Raw genomic sequence first — 20,972 nt, forward strand, 5'->3', positions numbered from 1 at the left:
AAAGCACCTCCGGTGATTCTAATGTGGGCCTTCAGTTCAAAGGAGCTCATCTAGGCTATAGAGTTTGAGGGAAAGAATTGTGTGGATGGGACAGTAAAATTCCTATTTATTTTAAGAGATGTCATGAATTAAATAGCTAATAGGTTGAGTTCCACACTTCACTTTTCCAGAACTATCTCTGTTAAAAGAAATTTTACATAATATATATTATTTTCATTGCTCAAAATACTAAGGTTCATTTGGGAAAATTCAAAAAGAAAGATGAAGAAAGAATTAATATAGTACTCATGCCATAAATATAGTTAACTTTTGTATATATTTACTCTGAGTTTTTTTCACTGTCATGTTTAAAAATATGTGATTATAATTTACATCCAACTTCATATCTTGCAGTTAAAATAAATACTTTTTTTGTGGTAAACATGTTTCATTTTATATAGGTTTTCAGTAATGAGTTTAGTAGTGAGGTCATATATGAATGACTATTAAATTATTTGTAGGTATCATATTTCTGAATAAACCTAAGGTCACAAATGGGAGTGTAAACCTACTTATAATTTATGCTATTGTGTGACTTCTCTACTTTTCCTTATGTGCCTGTATGTCCCCTCTCCCACTTCTTCCTTCCTTCCTTCTTTCCTGCCTGCTTTCCTTCCTTCTTACTTTCTTCCCTTCTTTCCTGACTAGGAGGAGCTCTCTGTCATCCTTGCTAGAGTGGGATGAAGCAGAACAATTCAAAGAACTCCATAAAATACTGACGTATGCATGCCTGCACATATATACAAGCTTTTATTAAACCCTCTCTATAAGTGAAAAAAAATAGATTCCTAATAGTAACTTTCACTGAAAAACATTCTGGGGTAATCATATGTTAAGGAACTAACATGAATAGCTAAATTAAATGGTTTCTCCATAAGTGAGCAAAATATAATATGTATAGACATGGTCTGAGAGCAAAAACTTCATGGTGCCCCCCAGGCCAAAAGAAGCACCTAAGACTACATCTTATCAAGTAGATAGGTCCATTTGAAAAACACACATATAAATTGAAAAAATTGTATTATTTTATTCTTAATAAACACAACTACATACTAATGAGATATATGTGTGCCTGGCGGGCTCTGCACAACTTCTCACGCCACTTCTACTCTCATTTCCTCTTCCTCTCTGACTTTCCACATGATAATTTCTTTGTATCACAGCAACTATTTCTTAAACCAAGCTTCATAAAAATATGTCATCAAAAGGTATGTGGCACAATTTCATACTGACCCTGTGAAATAGCTCAAGCTGTACTTTGTGCAGTGCCTAATAGATATTAAATGTTGGTATCTAACAGGTATTGATCATGTCTGGGCTTTCCTCTAAAATGTCAAATACCCCATGAGCACTCATGTGAATTTGCTGTGGTTATCTGGGTTACATCAGTGCAAAATTGGGAACCATGCACTTAGCATCATCTGAAAATTTTAATTTGTTCTACATGTTTCATAGTTATATGCCTGATGAAAGCATTCAATAGCATGAATATGAATAAATAACCCTTTTTCAGTGGAGTCAAACCAAACACCAAATTGGTAAATTTCACAATTAATTATATATATGTATATAAAATATATATATCTTTAAAAGTTATATATAAAACATTTAAAATTAAGTAATATGCCTATGATATAAAGTACTACATATTTTTATATATCAAATATATTTTATAAATATATATCAAATATCTTATATAAATATAAATATATAATATATTTGATATATATAATATATTATATATAATATATATATTTGATATATATTTTTTTTCTGTTGGGGAAAGCTAAGTGATTTCACTGACTTTCAGTGTCAGATGCCCTTGTCAAATTTAATATATGCCTCTTATTTTACAGTGGAGAAATCTGAAGTTCAGATAGATTAAATGACATTTTCAAATCACATAGCAAGTGAACCACATGTTCAAGACATTGCTCAGATCTTCTAAGACCAACTTCTATGCATTACTCAACAATAAGGCCATGTGTAGAGTACAGGTAGCTCTCCACACTTCCTTCCTCCTGGGCTATACTACCCAGTGAAAGTAGTGTTGAGAATGTGGCAGTTAAATATTGAAATTGGTTACTAGGAAACCTTGCATTGTGTTCTTGCCTAGGGTTTTAACAAGCTTAAATACCATTCAGTTTAAGTAAACCAATACAAGAGTAAATCTACTTAAAACCTACAGTCTGGAAGTAGAAATTGCCTCCTAGTGTAATTTTTCCTTTTTACAAATTGTTTATGTGTACTGAACACCATGTTCATCTAAGTGCACACATTGTAAATACCCCTTCTATTTTCATTGTGTATTCTTACCTATTGGGCTTCTACTGGCAGAGAAATTTTTAGATTTTGCAGTCTCTGGCTCTGCCTTTACTGGAAAATTGCTCTTTAATGTGTGTATTGAACAAACAAACAACATCTAAAATAGAGTATAAGGCCCTAGGAATACAGCTAACAAGGGACATGAAAGACCTCTGCAAGGAGAAATACAAACTACTGCTCAAGGAAATGAGAAGACACAAACAAATGGAAAAACATTTCATCCTCACAGATAGAAAGAATCAATATTGTTAAAATGGCCATACTGCCCAAAGTAATTTATAGATTCGATGCTATTCCCATCAAACTACTATTGCCATTCTTCACAGAATTAGAAAAAAAACTACTTTAAAATTTATATGGAACCAAAAAAGAGCCCATATAGCCAAGACAATCCTAAGCAAAAAGAACAAAACTGGAGGCATCATACTACCTGACTTCAAACTATATACAAGTCTACAGCAACCAAAATAGCATGGTACTTGTACCAAAACAGAAATATAGACCAATGGAACAGAACAGAGACCTCAGAAATAACACCACAAATCTGCAACCATCTGAACTGGACAAAAACAAGCTATGGGGAAAGGTTTCCTTATTTAATAAATGGTGCCAGGAAAACTGGCTAGCCATATGCAGAAAACTGAAACTGGACCCCTTCCTTACACCTTATACAAAAATTTACTTGAGATGGATTAAAGACTTAAACGTAAAACCAAACCCCAAACCATAAAAATCCTAGAGAAAATCTAGGCAATACCGTTAATGACATAGGCATGGGCAAAGACTTCCTGACGACAACAACAAAAGCAACTGCAACAAAAGCCAAAATTGACCATTAAACTAAAGAGCTTCTGCACAGCAAAGTAAACTATCATTGGAATGAACAGACAACCTTATACAATGTGAGACAAGTTTGCAATATACCCATTTGACAAAGGTCTAATATCAAAAATCTACGAAGAACTTAACCAAATTTATAAGAAAAAACAAACAACCCCATAAAGAAGTGGGCAAAGGATCTGAACAGACACTTCTCAAAAGAAGACATTACGTGGTCAACAAACATATGGGGAAAAAAAGCTCAACATCACTGATCATTAGAGAGAGAAATGCAAATCAAAACCACAGTGAGATACCATCTCATGTCAGTCAGAATGGTGATTATTAAAAAGTTAAGAAACAATAGATGCTGAAGAAGCTGTGGAAAATAGGAACACTTTAACACTGTTTGGGATTGTAAATTAGTTCAAACATTGTGGAAGACAGTGTGACGATTCCTCAAGGATCTAGAACCAGAAATACCAATTGACCCAGTGATCCCATTACTGGGTATATACTCAAAGGAATATAGATCATTCTACTTTAAAGACACACGTACATGTATGTTTACTGCAGCACTATTTACAATAGTAAAGACATGGAACCAACCCAAATGTCCATGAATGATAGACTAGATAAAGAAAATGTGGTACATATACATCATGGAATACTATGCAGCCATAAAAAGGAATGAAATCATGTCCTTTGCAGGGACATGGATGAAGCTGGGAGCCATCATCCTCAGCAAACTAATGCAGGAACAGAAAATCAAACACTGCATGTTCTCACCCATAAGTGGGAGTTGAACAATGAGAACACATGGACACAGGGAGGGGAACAACACACACTAGGACCAGTTGGTGGTTTGGGGGTGAGGGGAGGGAGAGCATTAAGACAAACTGCTAATGCACGTGGGGCTTAAAACCTAGATGACGGGTTGATAGGTGCAGCGAATCACCATGGCACAAGTGTACCTACGTAACAAACCTACACGCTCTGCACTTGTATCCTGGAACTTAAAGTAAAATAAAATAAAATAAAATAAAATATAAAACTACAAATGCAAACAATATATATACTGCAAGGCAAAGGGATGGGTAATGATATTTCTCTTAGACTATCATCAATTCCTTCCCTCCATTGTATATACGTGCCATTTTCTCATTCACAGGTAGAGTATATTCCTCTTCTCCCTTTGTATATAGTGTGATCTTAGAGACTTGTTTCCCCCAAAGGATCAGCAGAAGAGATGTTCTGGGCCTTGAGAGGTCATAAGAAGCCTTATAGTTTCTGCCTGGGTCACACAGAACACTCTCTTTTAGAAGCTTTTCTCTTTGGAAAGCTAAAATCCATGTTATAAGTCTAAATACTCTGAGACTGTCATGTGTAAACAGGGGGAAGCATGAGCTTCCAAGTACTATCACCAACTCAGCTCAGGAGCCAGGACATGTGAGTCAAGTTACCATCATTCTTCAGTTGATGCCACATGGATCAGAGATGAACCGCCTAACTGGGCCTTTCCTGAACTTCTGACCCACAAAGAGCAACATAAAATAACTGTTTTAAGCCACTGAGTTTTGGGGTAGTTTGTTAGGTTGCAATAAGAAAGCAGGGTAGGATGATCACATGCCCTTTTAATGTCACGTTGGAGCATCATCTTAAGACCCTAAAGGTCAGTTGACTTGCCAGGTTAAAGTGACTTATTTAGTTTGACTTATTGTGTGCCCTAGATTACAGTCCAGCCCCATAAAGTTTGATGCAAACTTATAGAAAATTGTGAAATTTTATTTTTCCCAGCAGAGATGCAAATAATTTCTGCCTGGTGAGAAATATAAGTCCAAAAGTTATGGCTTTATAGCACAGCAGGATATCTACCACTTTTGCATTAACACATCAGTCTTATCCAGGATTCTTCCTTTCACTGACTATATATGCATTCACATTTGGGATCCTACTTTGAACCAGCTTTGTTGTTGTGCCGGTTCCCTTTAATTTATCAATTAAATAGATCTTTGACATATACTCACTATATATTTTGTTTGAGAATAATGTCTTTAACTTTGGAAATTATACTTTGACATATGTAAAAGATTGTTCTTCACCACTGGGTTCTACATTGACTCAGTATCACATATCCCAGTTAAATGCAATGGAGAAATATATTTCATAAAGAAGATGGTATCCCAATGCTGGCTAAAGCCAAGAAGTATTTCTATCTAGGTTTACAAAGGGTTGGGGTACCTCCTCCATAAAGCATTTCTCTAATTCTTCCCATACACAAGATTCATTTAAAACAAAAACAAAAACAAAAACAAATGACCATTCCTCCTTGGGGTCTCAAAGCTGCTGTCAGAGTCCACTCAGAAATCTCAATCTGTTTAATGTATTTCTTTATTTAAAAGCCTGTGTACCCTTAACAGACTAGAGACAATCAATAGCAGGTCTGTGTACAATTCATCTTTACACGGACAGTGTCTAGCATACAGTCTCAATAAAGATTTCTTTGTAGGAGTGGTGCGTAATAAAATCGTATATGGATTTTATATAATTCCTTTGTATAATAAAAGAGTAATGAGTCATGAATTAAATGCTACTTGCATTATTCATTTCATGTTCTGAAATTTTTATTTTGAATAAAACATTTCACCATCTCCAAAATGCTATGTGAAAACTGTATATAAATCTTTCACTTCCCCTTTCTCAGGAGATATCAATAGTAATTTAGCATGAGAAAGAGCTTTGATTTTACTTGTACTCTTTTTAAAAAAATTAAAACTTAAATTTGTTTTCAGTGTATGATTCAAAAATATATATCAAATTATGTCTCTATATGCTACAAGGATAAACACTTATTAAATAAAATTGAAATTTCTAAAATGGTGCATGTTTCCTCTTTAGCCATGGGTCTTCTGTGCATGTTTCAGATAATCAAATGAAAATTTGCATTGATTAAATTCTGAATTCCACTTAAAAATGTCCCTTCCTTTGTTCTTAGTTAAAATTCAAACTGTGAATCATTTGCATTTAAATACCCTTTTAGATTTGGTTCCTTACTAGTATCAATATCCATTTGGATGATTGCTAAAAAGTAAAAATCTCAGCAACATGCTGCATATGTTGCTTATAATCCTGCTTAATTGCTTTGAATTTGCAATTAAAAACTCAAAACAAAAATAAAAAGCCAAATCCACAGAAATAAAAATCATAGCAAATGATATGCCCAGTTTAGGAAGTAGCATACGTTTTACTTTGAATGACTACTTGCTTTTCTTGAATAAGACACCTGCCTTATTCATATTGCATACAAATATTTTAAGAAATTTAGCCTATGAGATTTGTGAAGTTCACGATTTGATGACCATTTCTTGCCCATTCAAACTTTACTGGACTACTCGCTACAAATGAAGGTCAGAGAAGGAAGTCAATTTTTCATCAGAACAAACTTGATTAGATTGACTAGTTTTTCAAAAAGTGAAGTTTTTTTTAAAAAGACTATTTTAAAGTAGTACACTTATATAGACTTTTTTATATGTGTATTTGATGCAGCCCCAATTATATCTGTTCAGGTATTAACTCCTTCTGCTCCTTCTCCTCCATGAAAGGAAAAGCAGGCATAGATCCAAACAGAAATATCCATATGACCTATTGAGAATCTATATTATAACCAAATGGCCATTAGGATATCTAGGTTCCATAATTTTTGCTACAAGGCAATTATTGAAACTTTAAATACTAGTTCTACAAGAGGGACTTAATAAGCTTAAAAATATTCACTAAACGTATCAAGCATTTAAATAAAGCAAGACAATCAGTTTTCAATATACTAAATACCATAACTACATGTTCAGCTAGTTTGATTATTAATATTTCCTAACTAGGAACTCATTAGTCTTTGTTTGTTTAACCTAAGAAGTTAAGTACATGACTTTATTAGCTTCTCTGAGCTTTTCTTACATTACTGGAGTTAAGATAATTCTTCCACTTCAGCTGGCTGTGCTCACTTTTTGGTCCTGTGCTCTTCCTCCCTTCCTCAAATTTCTTCCTTTTGGCCAGTGGCCTGATTTGTGGGTTTACTTCTTTTCTTTGGGAATCAGCTTCCACATTCCAGCGGAACTGCACCACTTTGTTCTGTCTGTGGCTTAAGTCAGGTTGATATGGCTTACAAGTTACTCAATAATCTCTCAGGGACCGCTGATATTAAGGTGAGGGGAAAAAAAAAAAAACGAAAAAGCTAGCTTTCTGGCAGAGTGAAAACAGGAAACCCTGGAATCCAAAGAAACTTATTCTCTTGTGCTTTTTTTTCCTCCTGATTTAGTTTCCCCACTTCAATCTTCCCCACCTGGGGCCACTGAAATTTTATACTGAACACTTTACGTGGACTCCATGTTACCTGAAGTATTTGCCTTTTCATGGAAGAAGTTTCTTGGTTTTCCCATCATTCAATTTAACCTTTGTGGTTAAGGTTTATGTAATGTGAACTTGGCTTAAGGAAAAAATTTTAAAATACCTCGCTCTTACTCCCTGCTGGATTTATGTGAAAGAAATAACTGGACAAAGGTACTGCAAATATATCCAAGATCATTTCTCACAGTTTTGTCCATAACAACAATAACTCATGAGAATATAATCATACAGTTTATGACTAGGCAACCATTAAAGGAAGGATGTATATTTATTATATTAAGGAAATGGAAATATGTTTTTGACATATTTTTAAGCTTAAAAGTTGAGAAGGCAGGCTACAAGTTAATTAAAAGTAGAGATTTTACACCAATATGCTGATGATGGTCATGCTGGATGATGAAATTTTAGACTTTATACAGTCCACCACTTACGCTCCCTATGTGGTTACAGTTGTCATTCTGTATACTGGGGCGGGGGGCGGGGAGAGCAGCTATTGGTTTCAGGACCCCTGCATATGCCAAAATCCTTGCATATTCATGTCTGGCAGTCGGCCCTGCAGAACCACATATATGAAAAATGGACCTTCTGTAAAGGCCATTTCACATCCGCAAACACTGTATTTTCCATTTGTGTTTGGGTGAAAAAGATCTGAGTTTAAGTGGACCTGTGCAGTTCAAACTGTGCTGTTCAAGGGTCAACTATATTTAGTTTTACATTCAAATTAACTACAACTCAATAAAATTTAAAATTTCAGTTCTTCAGTTGCACTAGCCACACGTCAAGTGCTCAATAACCACATATGTCTAGTGGCTACTGTACTGCACAGCCCAGATACAAAACATTTCCATTATTGCAGAAAGTTCTGTGGGACTGCATTGTTTTAGATAATGCCTATTTCTTCTATGATGTTTTTGTTTATTCTAACTTTTACAATGATTATAATTTTTATAATCAAAATAACAATGAAATTATTTATACCGTGGGGGAAGCATCTTTGCTGTTAAAATGAAATTACAGTGCAGGAAATCTATATCATGATTTTCTTTATCTAATAAGTATGTATCACAAGTGGTCCTCAATACTGATATTATTGAACTTTTTTAATGGAGAGCTTTTCTGAAATTTCATCTAGCTATCTAAAATATTTGGATTGTTCAGTTATTCAACAAATCTCTTACTTCAGAGTCTCCTTGGGAATATCTATTCAACCAGAAATGGAAAAGAAAATTACTTATTTGGCAACTAATCTTTGGCTGTATTCCTTTTGTATTTCTGTGCATTGAGAAATGGTCTATGGGGTAGGGGAAATGGTAGTAGAACTATGTTTTAAATATCTAAGGAGATTTGTCAGACATCAAATACTAATATAACATGTTACAATATTGGAGGCCCATGATGAGTCAGGCTGCTATCTATCTATCTATCTATCTATCTATCTATCTATCTATCTATCTATCTATGATTTCTTATTTATTTTGGCCTGTCCACTAGGAGTTTTGGATTTTTAAAAATTAATTTGGTTTATTTAAAATTCAGAAGATTTTTAACAATATGGATTTTGCTTCTCTTAAAAATCGTATCTGACAATACTGAATCAAGATTTTTGCAGGCCAGCTGAGTGTACTCTGAGAAGCAATCTCCCCATTTAGCTATAGCATGTGTTTTTGTGCTCTTCAAGGTGTTATGGCAATCAACATTTTCCACTCTCTCCTACAACCTAGCATGCTGGTCCATTTATGTCATTGGCCCTAACCATGCAGGCATCTGAGTTTGAGTCTGTTGTCTATTTGAAGAGCAGTCACAGCACATATTCTGGTTAGAAATGGAATTTCCTGAGCAACTAAATGATTTGATACAAAAGAAATCAAGCATCAATAATCTTGTCCTATTTCAATTTGGATTAATCGATATTTCACCACCACTTCCACAAACTCCCAAACTCCTGTCAGTGTCACAACTGGGTTTATGGACATTCATCAGAGTGGTTCATTGTTACTACAATACACAGGATATGTATGCACATTTAAGGATATGAATTAGACTGTGATGCACAAAAGTGTCATAAGCTAATTCCCACAGCTCTCCTTGATAATATGATACACTATGAAGTGACTTTCATTTCAGTTTATCAGTTTCTCATCCAATTCTGAACTTTATTAAAGGACATTAATCATAGAGACCATTTACTCTTTTGAGGTTGCTGACTAGATGTCTGTGGAACTATATGAATCTACTAAGACAAACACACGTCTATAAGAGAGTGAGGCAAATAGTTGGTTATGGCTGCTAATACGCTTCTGAAAGGCAATTTTAAAGAAGATAAAATGTGTTTTGTGCAATCAATGTCAGTGAAATCAGTTGAATTTTCCAAAGCAATTGCTCTAAAAGACAACACTCATCTGTTTTGCTGGATATTTGATTTGTTTTTGTGGTCGTTGTTTAAATCCATTTCTACTCTTTTAAAGTTATAACTTATTGGTATATGGTTCATTCTTCACCAATGCAGATATATTGAGAAGAATGGAACCTGTCACATATAACACATATTTGGGCAAAGAGTACTTTCTTAAGGAAAAAACAAACAAAACAAAACAAAACAAAAACAACTACTAAAAGACTTTAAGTGGAACTGTGTAGAACATGTTAAATATTTCCATTTCTGTTTACCTTTGTTTCTAGGTATTTGAAAAGCCCAGGCTGCTTTGTTTTATAAACAATTCCTATACTCCTGTGGGCATAATTCTATATTAACTGAAGATTAATTTCAGGTTACACTGTAAAAATGCCTTACAAATGCAATACTATTAGGGTGTGGAAAACCCTGAAGGAACTGAAAATCCAATCCATTTGAGGGAAGCCTTTAATTAACATCTTGGAGAATATGTATTACCTTTTTAAACAGATAAATATTTTTTTTCATTTTAGAGTAGCGGAATCTAATCTTAATCTAATCTTTTAGGAGTATATTTCAGAGAAATTCCAAGCACACCAGTATGACCATCCTTATTTCAGAAATGACAATGCATAGAGGAAAAGTAATGTGTGCAAAGCCTCCGAAGAGGATGGTTAAGTAAAGACTTAGGTTACCAGTATCAGGCTTTCGTTTTTGTATGTAGGTAGCTCTACTGCCTCCTCTTAAAACCAACAAAGGAAAGAGAGACTGGCTGCAAACTTTTAGAAGGAATGGCTTCGAATAGGGTTCCTGGGAGGAATCCCGAGGAAATAGACGCTGCTGCTCTGCTGATTGTCTCCACTATCCTGTTTTGCTCCTACCCACTAATCCAGCCTGGGAGGCTCTGGGCATTAGCGGAAGGCTTCACCACAAGGAGACAGGAGCGAGTATTCCATAGGCATGCGCTCCTAGTGGCACGAGTGGCTTGGGTCAGGATCAAAGAGTGAAGGATTCGGAAGTCAGCTATCTGGAGAGAGAGAGAGAGAGATTGTGTTTTATTCGTGTCCCATAGCTTTCCTATCCTATCCCTATCCTAGCTTTTAACCTGAGCCAGAGCTCACTACACAGGTTCCTGGCTATCGAGTCTGAATCTGCACTACTCAACTTATAAACTGTCTGCAGACACCTGTTAGGGAAATTGCTGATCATGGGCAGCAGGATCTGAACTCGCTTTACCTTCTCGTTTGGAGCACAGGGACCGCCCAGCTAGAGGAGCACCAGCGCACTGCGCCCCAGCCCTGGGCGAGGGTGCGGAGGATTTGTTCTCGGTGCAATCCTGCTGGCGCTTTTCCGGGGTTCTGCGCGGATCCAGCTCCCCATCTCTGCTCCTACACACACAAAAGAAAACAACTCTCGATTGGAAGTTGTGGAATTTTCTCAGCCCCTACGAGGCGCGGGGATTCTCCAGCCCCGGCCCTCCTCCCGCCAGCCTGAGGTCTCCTTCGCTCGCCTGCCTTGCTAGGGACCGCAGTCCCTCAGCCGCAGCTGGGTCTGTCCGCCCCGCCTTTGCCCTCGCCTTTTCCCGGGGCGGATTTGGTGAAGTCGGCCTCAAGTCCAGGAGGTCTGTCTTCGCCGGGCCAGCTCTCGCGGAACTGGGGGGTAGAGAGCAAAGGGAGAGATTCGTGGAAGGGAAGGGAGGTAGGGGTGGCGCAAACGCCCAGAGTATCAAACTTGGGGGTGGCACAGTAGGTGACAGCAGCAGCTGCAGGTGGTGGCTGGGGACCCGCGAGGGGGCGCCCCTCTGGGTAGGGTCTGGCTGAGCGGGCTTGCAAGCCCGGGAGGCGGCTGAGAGACCCTGGACACTGTTCCTGCTCCCTCGCCACCAAAACTTCTCCTCCAGTCCCCTCCCCTGCAGGACCATCGCCCGCAGCCTCTGCACCTGTTTTCTTGTGTTTAAGGGTGGGGTTTGCCCCCCTCCCCACGCTCCCATCTCTGATCCTCCCACCTTCACCCGCCCACCCCGCGAGTGAGTGCGGTGCCCAGGCGCGCTTGGCCTGAGAGGTCGGCAGCAGACCCGGCAGCGCCAACCGCCCAGCCGCTCTGACTGCTCCGGCTGCCCGCCCGCGCGGCGCGGGCTGTCCTGGACCCTAGGAGGGGACGGAACCGGACTTGCCTTTGGGCACCTTCCAGGGCCCTCTCCAGGTCGGCTGGCTAATCATCGGACAGACGGACTGCACACATCTTGTTTCCGCGTCTCCGCAAAAACGCGAGGTCCAGGTCAGTAAGTGTAATTCCTAACTCTGATCACCTCCTGGGAACAAGAAAATCCCTAGAGGAGCGCTCGGTTCCTATGAAGAGGGACATGAGGAGGTCCTCATGAGTGTATGGACTTTTTCCTCCTCCTTTAGGCGGGAGGTGGCGATTTGGAGGATGTAATACCATCCCCATTTTCTACTTTCTCTAGATTTTCCCTTTTCTGTTGAAGATTATTTACTATTTCCTTGACCCTTCTTTGAGATAGGTCATTATCTTTCCAGAACAGTAAGTTGTTATTGTTCCTGCCTCTTTAAAAATCAAACACTTGTCTAAAGCAGAAGGTCCTATTGGATTCTCCAAAGCCGTTCAAGAGGAGACACATTCATTTAAGCGTTTGCTCATTTTCCATCAGAAAGGCTCACCCACTGGCAGGAGCTTTTGGTGGCAGGGAAAGAGGCAAAATTAAAAGCTTTGAGACTTTTTGCAATAGGTACACATCATTTAAAATTCAGTGACATGAAATGGAGATGCTGTTTCCAAAGAAAGGCTTCCCACACCCTTTGGTGAATATTTTCAACTTTCTACTGATTAGCCAAACAATCATGTCTTGTATGTAGCATTCTTGAAACTTCCCTTCTTCCCCCTCCCCTGCCCCCATTCCTAGAACTAATTAGTGTAGGCAAATGCAGGGCTTTTGATTTCTGAGACTGATTTCTGAGATATTTTTCCCTGGGAAAAATGTTCTGGAAGACATTGTGCTTGATAAGATGTGTAGGTTTACTAAGGCCAACCTGTGACAATATTGTTGCAAAAAGCCCCCACAGATTTAAACATCTCTCCTCAAAGCATGAACTGGTCTCTGACTCAAATAACTTGAGGTTATTTGAATCTCGGGTGGTGGGCTGCTGGGGGAAGTCCTGAAACTCTTTTCCTATTCTGCAAAGAAATGTTTCTATGACAAAGTTTCTAAGGATTCCCTTATTCAGGAAAATTGTACCAGTAAAAGTTCTCTTTAAATGTCTTAAAGTAATGTAAATATCTCATTTTGCCTTATTTCAAAGAAAGGTTATTCCCTTGTCTGCTTGCTGTTTCCTTTGTGTGCTTTTGATGGCAACTTCCTCTGTGTACCATTTTCCTTTCCCACTTTTCCAGAAGTGCTGTCATGAAATGATGCATTTTCTGCTCTGGGTAATGTTTTGACCTGGCTGAAGGGAGTAACCTGCTTAAGCACAGCTAACACTGTCTATATTCTAAGAGCTTGTAGATCAACAACCATTCCTACAGAGAAGTTGTAAATAAAAGGGCTTCAAAATTTATAAAACAAGACTGAGAAGAAAAAGCAAAGCAAATCAAAAAATCAAGTATACTCTTCCTCCTAGTAACCTTCAATCTCATGCTTCCTCTCAATTTAGTCAGGTATAACCTCCAAACTCCAGCCTCTTGGAGTCTCTTTAATTCTGTAAATGGCTAAATGGCTTGTCAGGATTGAGTAACTGTACTCTAAAACCAGTCTCTTTCTTAGTCTAGGGGATATGGTGTGGGCTATCAAACATACACTCCAAGATATGAATGATTTGTTTCAGATTTCTCTAATTACTAAGGAGTGGAGGCACATGTGAAAAGAGGCTGGGGCTCCTTGGAATGTTCTATGTGAAATTTATGCAGAGGGAGCAGGAATATATCAGTACGGCAAACACCTGAGTACATGGAAACTCTCATGTCTCTCTGTATAGTAAGGCTCCTGTGGAAGGGTGAGTGGTGAGAGACAGAGAGTGAGGGAAAGATGCGGAAAGAGAAAAAAAAGTGAGATAAATGGAGCGGGAGAAAGAGAGTTGGGGGAGCAGAAACCTTTGAAACAGAAAGTTTTCTTTATGGGTTATACTGACAATTTAAAATGTTATAATCAGGAATTAATTTAACAGGGTCTCAGGACAATTTTTTTTTTGTATAAGCAGTTATCTGATTAAGAATAAGAAAATAAGCATATGGATGTTATGTCATAGGGAAGAACCCTACATAGGCAGTTGTCTTCAGTAAAGGAAAGGATCAAAATTATACTTTCCATTTGGCTGACATTGATTATTCAGTATAATTGTGCTTTCCTTTAGCTTTATATTTGTTCTGACAAATTGCTGAGTACCTTTAATATGCTATATAGTGTGCTAGGGATTAAACAATGGAGGAAGAAGGTCTAGGTTCTGTCTTCAAAGAGATTGCTGTGGTGGGTAAACGAAGGAAAACAGTCACAACGTGGCATGTGGTACATGCGGCATTAGAAGTGAGCACAGGGGCTTGGGGTAACTGAGAGGCTTCCCAGTTTAAAACGGGGAGGGCAGAGAGGCATGAAAAAGGCTCAGGTGTTACTGGAATTGGAAGTAAGGCAGTATGACAGAAGTGGACAGTATATATTGGGCTGTCAGCAGAGATGAGGCCAGAGGGATATGCAGGGATGAGTTCAAGAAAAGCCTCGAATGTCAGGCTAAGGAGTTGGGATTTTCTTCTATAGGCCAGTGTTGTCAACCTGTGGGTGCAGATCCTTTGGTGGGAGAGCAAATTAATGAAAGCATACATGTATGTTATTATCAGATCATGCAAAACAGAATCTATTCAAGAATGTAAAAAAGGAGTAATTTAATTCAGATAGTTGATTAAACAAGTGATGGAAGCCAAACAATGGATGTTGAGACTACCTAGGGATTACCAAGAGCAGGAAGTCATTACTGCCTCCAGCTGGATGGATATGAGGAAGAGGTAGTGTGACCAAGGCCCCCGGAACAGGGACACCCTCTGGAATCAGAATCACAATAGGTCTGTCCTATGAAAACCAGAGCTACAGAACTGCTGTAGAGGCACTGCCAAGAGCAGAGAGGGAGGAAGAAGAATATAGTGGCTTCTCCCTTCCTGCTGCCTGCCAGTGCCTCCCACCGACCAAACCCAGCCAGAATCCCAAGGACTTGGAGCTTGAAAATGTATTCTGTGAGAGTCAGCCCTCCTGTGGTACAGAGCAGAACAGAACAGAGGAACAGTGAGGGAAGGAGCTGGGGGGCACATAGGCCCAGCCAAGCATTATCTGTGGGCTGAATAAATATATGACTTTCCTACCAATGGTGTTAGATGCTATTAATTACAAACACATTCATTGAAAGGTTCATAAAAACAAATTCATAAAAGAAGCTCTGAATGAACAGTGGCAGCCTTTTGTGATTATGAGCATATTTGAAAGGTACTACCACCATGGTGTTGGGCTCTGAATGCTTTAACAGACTGAAAAAATGAAACTTATATTAAAAAAATACATCGTAATTGTTTCAAACAATCTGGAGACATTGAGGAAAACAATATGATCACATTTGAATTTCAGAAAAAAAAATTTTAATATCAGAGTAGGCATTGTCCAGTAAAATGTGAGAGCCTTAGAGTAGAGGTACTATCCTCTTGTCTTCACCCGGCAAAAACCCTAGTTCAAGACATAGGTTTTTAAATGCATGATGCATGCAGGTTTGAAGAAGTAAAGGCGCCAGGATGGTAAAGCCACCCCTGGCATTGAGTAGACACTCGATTATTTCTGTTAGGTGAATGAATTAATTAATAAATAAAAGCAAAAGAGGATGGGAGGTAAGTTAGAAGATGATTAGAGTAATCATGATAAGAGATTAAGAAGAATAAAACCAATGTTGTAGAAACGATGAGAAAATAGGTGGAAGAGATATGTAACATACTAGTCTGCGGGTTCTCTTAAATGTAGAGGCTAACAGAGATTTTGAGAAAGCATGAAATGTTATATGTTAGTTCAGAAGTTTATTTAAGATCATTCAAAAAAGCAACTGTTCCAACCCAAGTTTCCTTAGAGCATTGAGTGGATAAAGAAAACGTGGTATGTAATACACCATGGAATACTACTCAGCTGTAAAAAAGAATGATATGATGTCTTTTGCAACAAATTGAATGGAGCTGGAGACCATTATTCTAAGTGAAGTAACTAGGATGGAAAATCAAATACAATAGGTTCTCATTTGTAAGTAGGAGCTAAGCTGTGGGTACACAAAAGCATACAGAGTGGTATAATGGACTTTGGAGACTCATAAAGGAGAGGGTGGGAATGGGAGTGAGGGATAAAAAAACTACATATTGGGTACAAGGTACACTACTTGGGTGACAGATGCACTAAAATCTGATTTTACTACCATACAATCCATCTGTGCAACCAAAAAACATTTGTACCCCAAAAGCTATTGAAATTAAATTTTAAAAAAGTAACTCTTCTATATATTTTAATACTATTTTTAATACTAAATCCTGCACCAAAAACAGAATCTGCTTGGTTTATCTGAGATAATTCATAGTCCCAAGGTTCAGGCACCAGACAAATAGTTTTAATATGTTCCCCTTTCTTATACAATTTGTTGCTGTATATTTATAAATTTGAAACAGTCAAGATAATGAAGGAAACTTTACTTTTTTATCTACCTGAAAATTAATTCAATGAATTCATAGTGGTTATACAATTCATAAAGTTTATAATATTCATTCCACTTAAAATGAAATTAATCCATTTGATAGCATTCACTTTGAAATTATGTCTATACTATCGGTATTATACTTTACCGTCATAGCATATATTTCAGAAACCTGATTTAATTGATCCATATTTGACAATAGACTTATTAAAGGGTCTATTTCATTAAAATGTTTTGCTATGCACAATTTTAGAGAGTAGAGGATATTTTGATCCCTAACCAAAATTAAACCAGTCCATTTGTGAAATTTCTTTGCTTCACCTTTGTGTTTTCCTCGTTCCATTGGTTTTTGTTGTTGTTGTTTTGTTTTATTTTGTTTTTTCTTTTTAGGTTGTAGACTCTTGTGCTGGTTGCAGGCCAAGTGGACCTGTACTGAAAATGGGTCCAATAGGTGCAGAGGCTGATGAGAACCAGACAGTGGAAGAAATGAAGGTGGAACAATACGGGCCACAAACAACTCCTAGAGGTGAACTGGTCCCTGACCCTGAGCCAGAGCTTATAGATAGTACCAAGCTGATTGAGGTACAAGTTGTTCTCATATTGGCCTACTGCTCCATCATCTTGCTTGGGGTAATTGGCAACTCCTTGGTGATCCATGTGGTGATCAAATTCAAGAGCATGCGCACAGTAACCAACTTTTTCATTGCCAATCTGGCTGTGGCAGATCTTTTGGTGAACACTCTGTGTCTACCGTTCACTCTTACCTATACCTTAATGGGGGAGTGGAAAATGGGTCCTGTCCTGTGCCACCTGGTGCCCTATGCCCAGGGCCTGGCAGTACAAGTATCCACAATCACCTTGACAGTAATTGCCCTGGACCGGCACAGGTGCATCGTCTACCACCTAGAGAGCAAGATCTCCAAGCGAATCAGCTTCCTGATTATTGGCTTGGCCTGGGGCATCAGTGCCCTGCTGGCAAGTCCCCTGGCCATCTTCCGGGAGTATTCGCTGATTGAGATCATCCCGGACTTTGAGATTGTGGCCTGTACTGAAAAGTGGCCTGGCGAGGAGAAGAGCATCTATGGCACTGTCTATAGTCTTTCTTCCTTGTTGATCTTGTATGTTTTGCCTCTGGGCATTATATCATTTTCCTACACTCGCATTTGGAGTAAATTGAAGAACCATGTCAGTCCTGGAGCTGCAAATGACCACTACCATCAGCGAAGGCAAAAAACCACCAAAATGCTGGTGTGTGTGGTGGTGGTGTTTGCGGTCAGCTGGCTGCCTCTCCATGCCTTCCAGCTTGCCGTTGACATTGACAGCCAGGTCCTGGACCTGAAGGAGTACAAACTCATCTTCACAGTGTTCCACATCATCGCCATGTGCTCCACTTTTGCCAATCCCCTTCTCTATGGCTGGATGAACAGCAACTACAGAAAGGCTTTCCTCTCGGCCTTCCGCTGTGAGCAGCGGTTGGATGCCATTCACTCTGAGGTGTCCGTGACATTCAAGGCTAAAAAGAACCTGGAGGTCAGAAAGAACAGTGGCCCCAATGACTCTTTCACAGAGGCTACCAATGTCTAAGGAAGCTGTGGTGTGAAAATGTATGGATGAATTCTGACCAGAGCTATGAATCTGGTTGATGGCGGCTCACAAGTGAAAACTGATTTCCCATTTTAAAGAAGAAGTGGATCTAAATGGAAGCATCTGCTGTTTAATTCCTGGAAAACTGGCTGGGCAGAGCCTGTGTGAAAATACTGGAATTCAAAGATAAGGCAACAAAATGGTTTACTTAACAGTTGGTTGGGTAGTAGGTTGCATTATGAGTAAAAGCAGAGAGAAGTACTTTTGATTATTTTCCTGGAGTGAAGAAAACTTGAACAAGAAATTGGTATTATCAAAGCATTGCTGAGAGACGGTGGGAAAATAAGTTGACTTTCAAATCACGTTAGGACCTGGATTGAGGAGGTGTGCAGTTCGCTGCTCCCTGCTTGGCTTATGAAAACACCACTGAACAGAAATTTCTCCAGGGAGCCACAGGCTCTCCTTCATCGCATTTTGATTTTTTTGTTCATTCTCTAGACAAAATCCATCAGGGAATGCTGCAGGAAACGATTGCCAACTATACGAATGGCTTCGAGGAGATAAACTGAAATTTGCTATATAATTAATATTTTGGCAGATGATAGGGGAACTCCTCAACACTCAGTGGGCCAATTGTTCTTAAAACCAATTGCACGTTTGGTGAAAGTTTCTTCAACTCTGAATCAAAAGCTGAAATTCTCAGAATTACAGGAAATGCAAACCATCATTTAATTTCTAATTTCAAGTTACATCCGCTTTATGGAGATACTATTTAGATAACAAGAATACAACTTGATACTTTTATTGTTATACCTTTTTGAACATGTATGATTTCTGTTGTTATTCCTATTGGAGCTAAGTTTGTCTACACTAAAATTTAAATCAGACTAGAGAATAATTTTTGTGGCATGTTGTAACATTTCACAGTATTTACAAGCTATTTTTGCACAGGTACATAGCTCTCATGTATTTAAAGAACACTGCAGTGTTATTTTCTTTGAAATTCATCCTCCACGGACCCATTCATACTAAATAAAACAATGTAATTACATTAAAATGGACCTATCTGTAAGAGGTACTAAAAACACTGGATTCATTTCATCTTGCAAATGTTGTATTTCAAACCAGTTTCACATAAGTTATTTGTCTTCTTTTCAAAATAATTAGCTATATTTTTATATAATATGAATATATACATAAAAATTGTTTCTATAAATTGTAGAACATAGATGCTACAGTATTTTTTATTTAATTATATTATGAATAAAATTGTTATTTCAATAGTACCCAACCAAAGATGCTTAAAAACCTTCTATGTTCATAAAAAATAACAACTGAGATGTTAAAATAGTCATACGTCTTTAGATGCTATTAAAGTTTCATTAGTCATATTTTTGTAAATATGACAGAATTTGTGAATATATTTTTAAAGCAAAAAACTTCAACATGCATATGATATATAGTTACAACATTAATTTTATGAACTGGAGAGCTTTACTTTGTGGATATATTTAAAATTCATATTATAGCTCCTATTAAATTCCTTCCATGATAGATATAAAGGACTGGTTTTTAAGTGCACTGCACTTCTGGAATACTGAAAAAGAATGAAAACAATATGTTAGATTAGGTGTAAGACTTTAAGAAGCGAACAAAAAGTAATGTATATCTGTAATATATAATCAAATGATTCATTTTTCTGTTAGACTAGGCAAATTGTTCAAAAATAACCTTTTTGTCTTTTAAGTAGCAGTCACTTTGCTTAAGATGCTAATAGAAAACTGTGGTTAAAGATTTACCCTCCCTCTTGGTGAATTATTACACTGTAAGAAATGTATATGCTACTGTGTTACATGTTGTATTAGTAAATTATTAGAATCCAATTAATGATTCAATTAACATATATCTTATCCAATTCATTATGTCAATTCATTAATAAAATACCTTTTATGTAGAGGCTTTATGTTGCAATTAAAAAGTTGGGAAAATGAGAGAAATTGTGTGGAATTTTATATCAGAGTGCTTGTCTAAGACAAGGCAGTAAGACTAATGCAACTAAAAAAGAAAAATAAGGGCTGCTGTTCCACAGTTAGTCCAGCTCTCTTTCCATTCTGTACCTGAACCTGAGTCAATGGATCCACTCTTACGACTGCAATTACAATACATAATATGAGGATACGTGGATCTTCATTTTTCAGACAAGACCTTTCTTCTTAACTTCAATTCTGTATCTCTACCGGCCAATAGACCATGTCCACATGGGTGTCTCACCAGCAAATCAAATCTCAAACAGAACCTGCCATTTCAATGCACACCTCATCCCATCTCCCCTCCACGTTGTCTTCCCGTATTCTCTGTCTCAATCATGACACTACTATGTACCTATTTCCCAAAAGCCTTACATTTTGGAATCACCCTTTACAAGTCTCTTTATCGCATGTATCTAATTAATTCCCACATCTTGTTTTAATTCCTACGTGTTTCTTTAATCGACTTACTTTTTTCCATTCCCTTGGTCCAGGCTATGATTGTCTCCCCAGACTGCTATTATGTCTCATCTGGATTAATATAGGTACTTCCTAATTGGTCTCTATATCTTGCTTTCTTCCCATCTAATCTGACTCTAACTCATTAGCCATAGTGATTTTTCAAAAACTCAGATTTTATCAAATCACTCTTCTGATGAAAACACTTTA

The 20,972-nt window shown here is 37.8% G+C and overlaps 1 protein-coding gene and 1 long non-coding RNA gene across 4 annotated transcripts in view; one reads left to right on the forward strand and one right to left on the reverse strand.

The window, feature by feature from the left end:
* The window catches only part of NPY2R (neuropeptide Y receptor Y2), a 43,354-nt gene extending 23,087 nt beyond the window's left edge, over window positions 1-20,267 (forward strand). Inside the window, exons 1-2 of one of the 3 annotated variants that reach the window (NM_000910.4) lie at window positions 11,827-12,260; window positions 17,083-20,267. In NM_000910.4, the coding sequence (NP_000901.1) occupies window positions 17,131-18,276 (1,146 nt within the window). In that variant the 5' untranslated portion in view covers window positions 11,827-12,260; window positions 17,083-17,130 and the 3' untranslated portion in view covers window positions 18,277-20,267. Of the gene's footprint in view, window positions 1-11,826; window positions 12,261-17,082 lie in introns of those variants that run through there. The other 2 variants (NM_001370180.1, NM_001375470.1) reach the window with 2 other exon arrangements.
* NPY2R-AS1 (NPY2R antisense RNA 1) lies at window positions 5,557-11,363 on the reverse strand. The gene is made up of 2 exons (XR_001741894.2): window positions 11,216-11,363; window positions 5,557-11,006 (listed from the first exon to the last, which is right to left on the reverse strand). It is a non-coding gene; the product is annotated as an NPY2R antisense RNA 1 (long non-coding RNA).
* Window positions 20,268-20,972: the final 705 nt, after the last annotated feature.

This window comes from Homo sapiens, chromosome 4 (genome assembly GCF_000001405.40).
Source record: "Homo sapiens chromosome 4, GRCh38.p14 Primary Assembly".
NCBI lineage: Eukaryota > Metazoa > Chordata > Mammalia > Primates > Hominidae > Homo > Homo sapiens.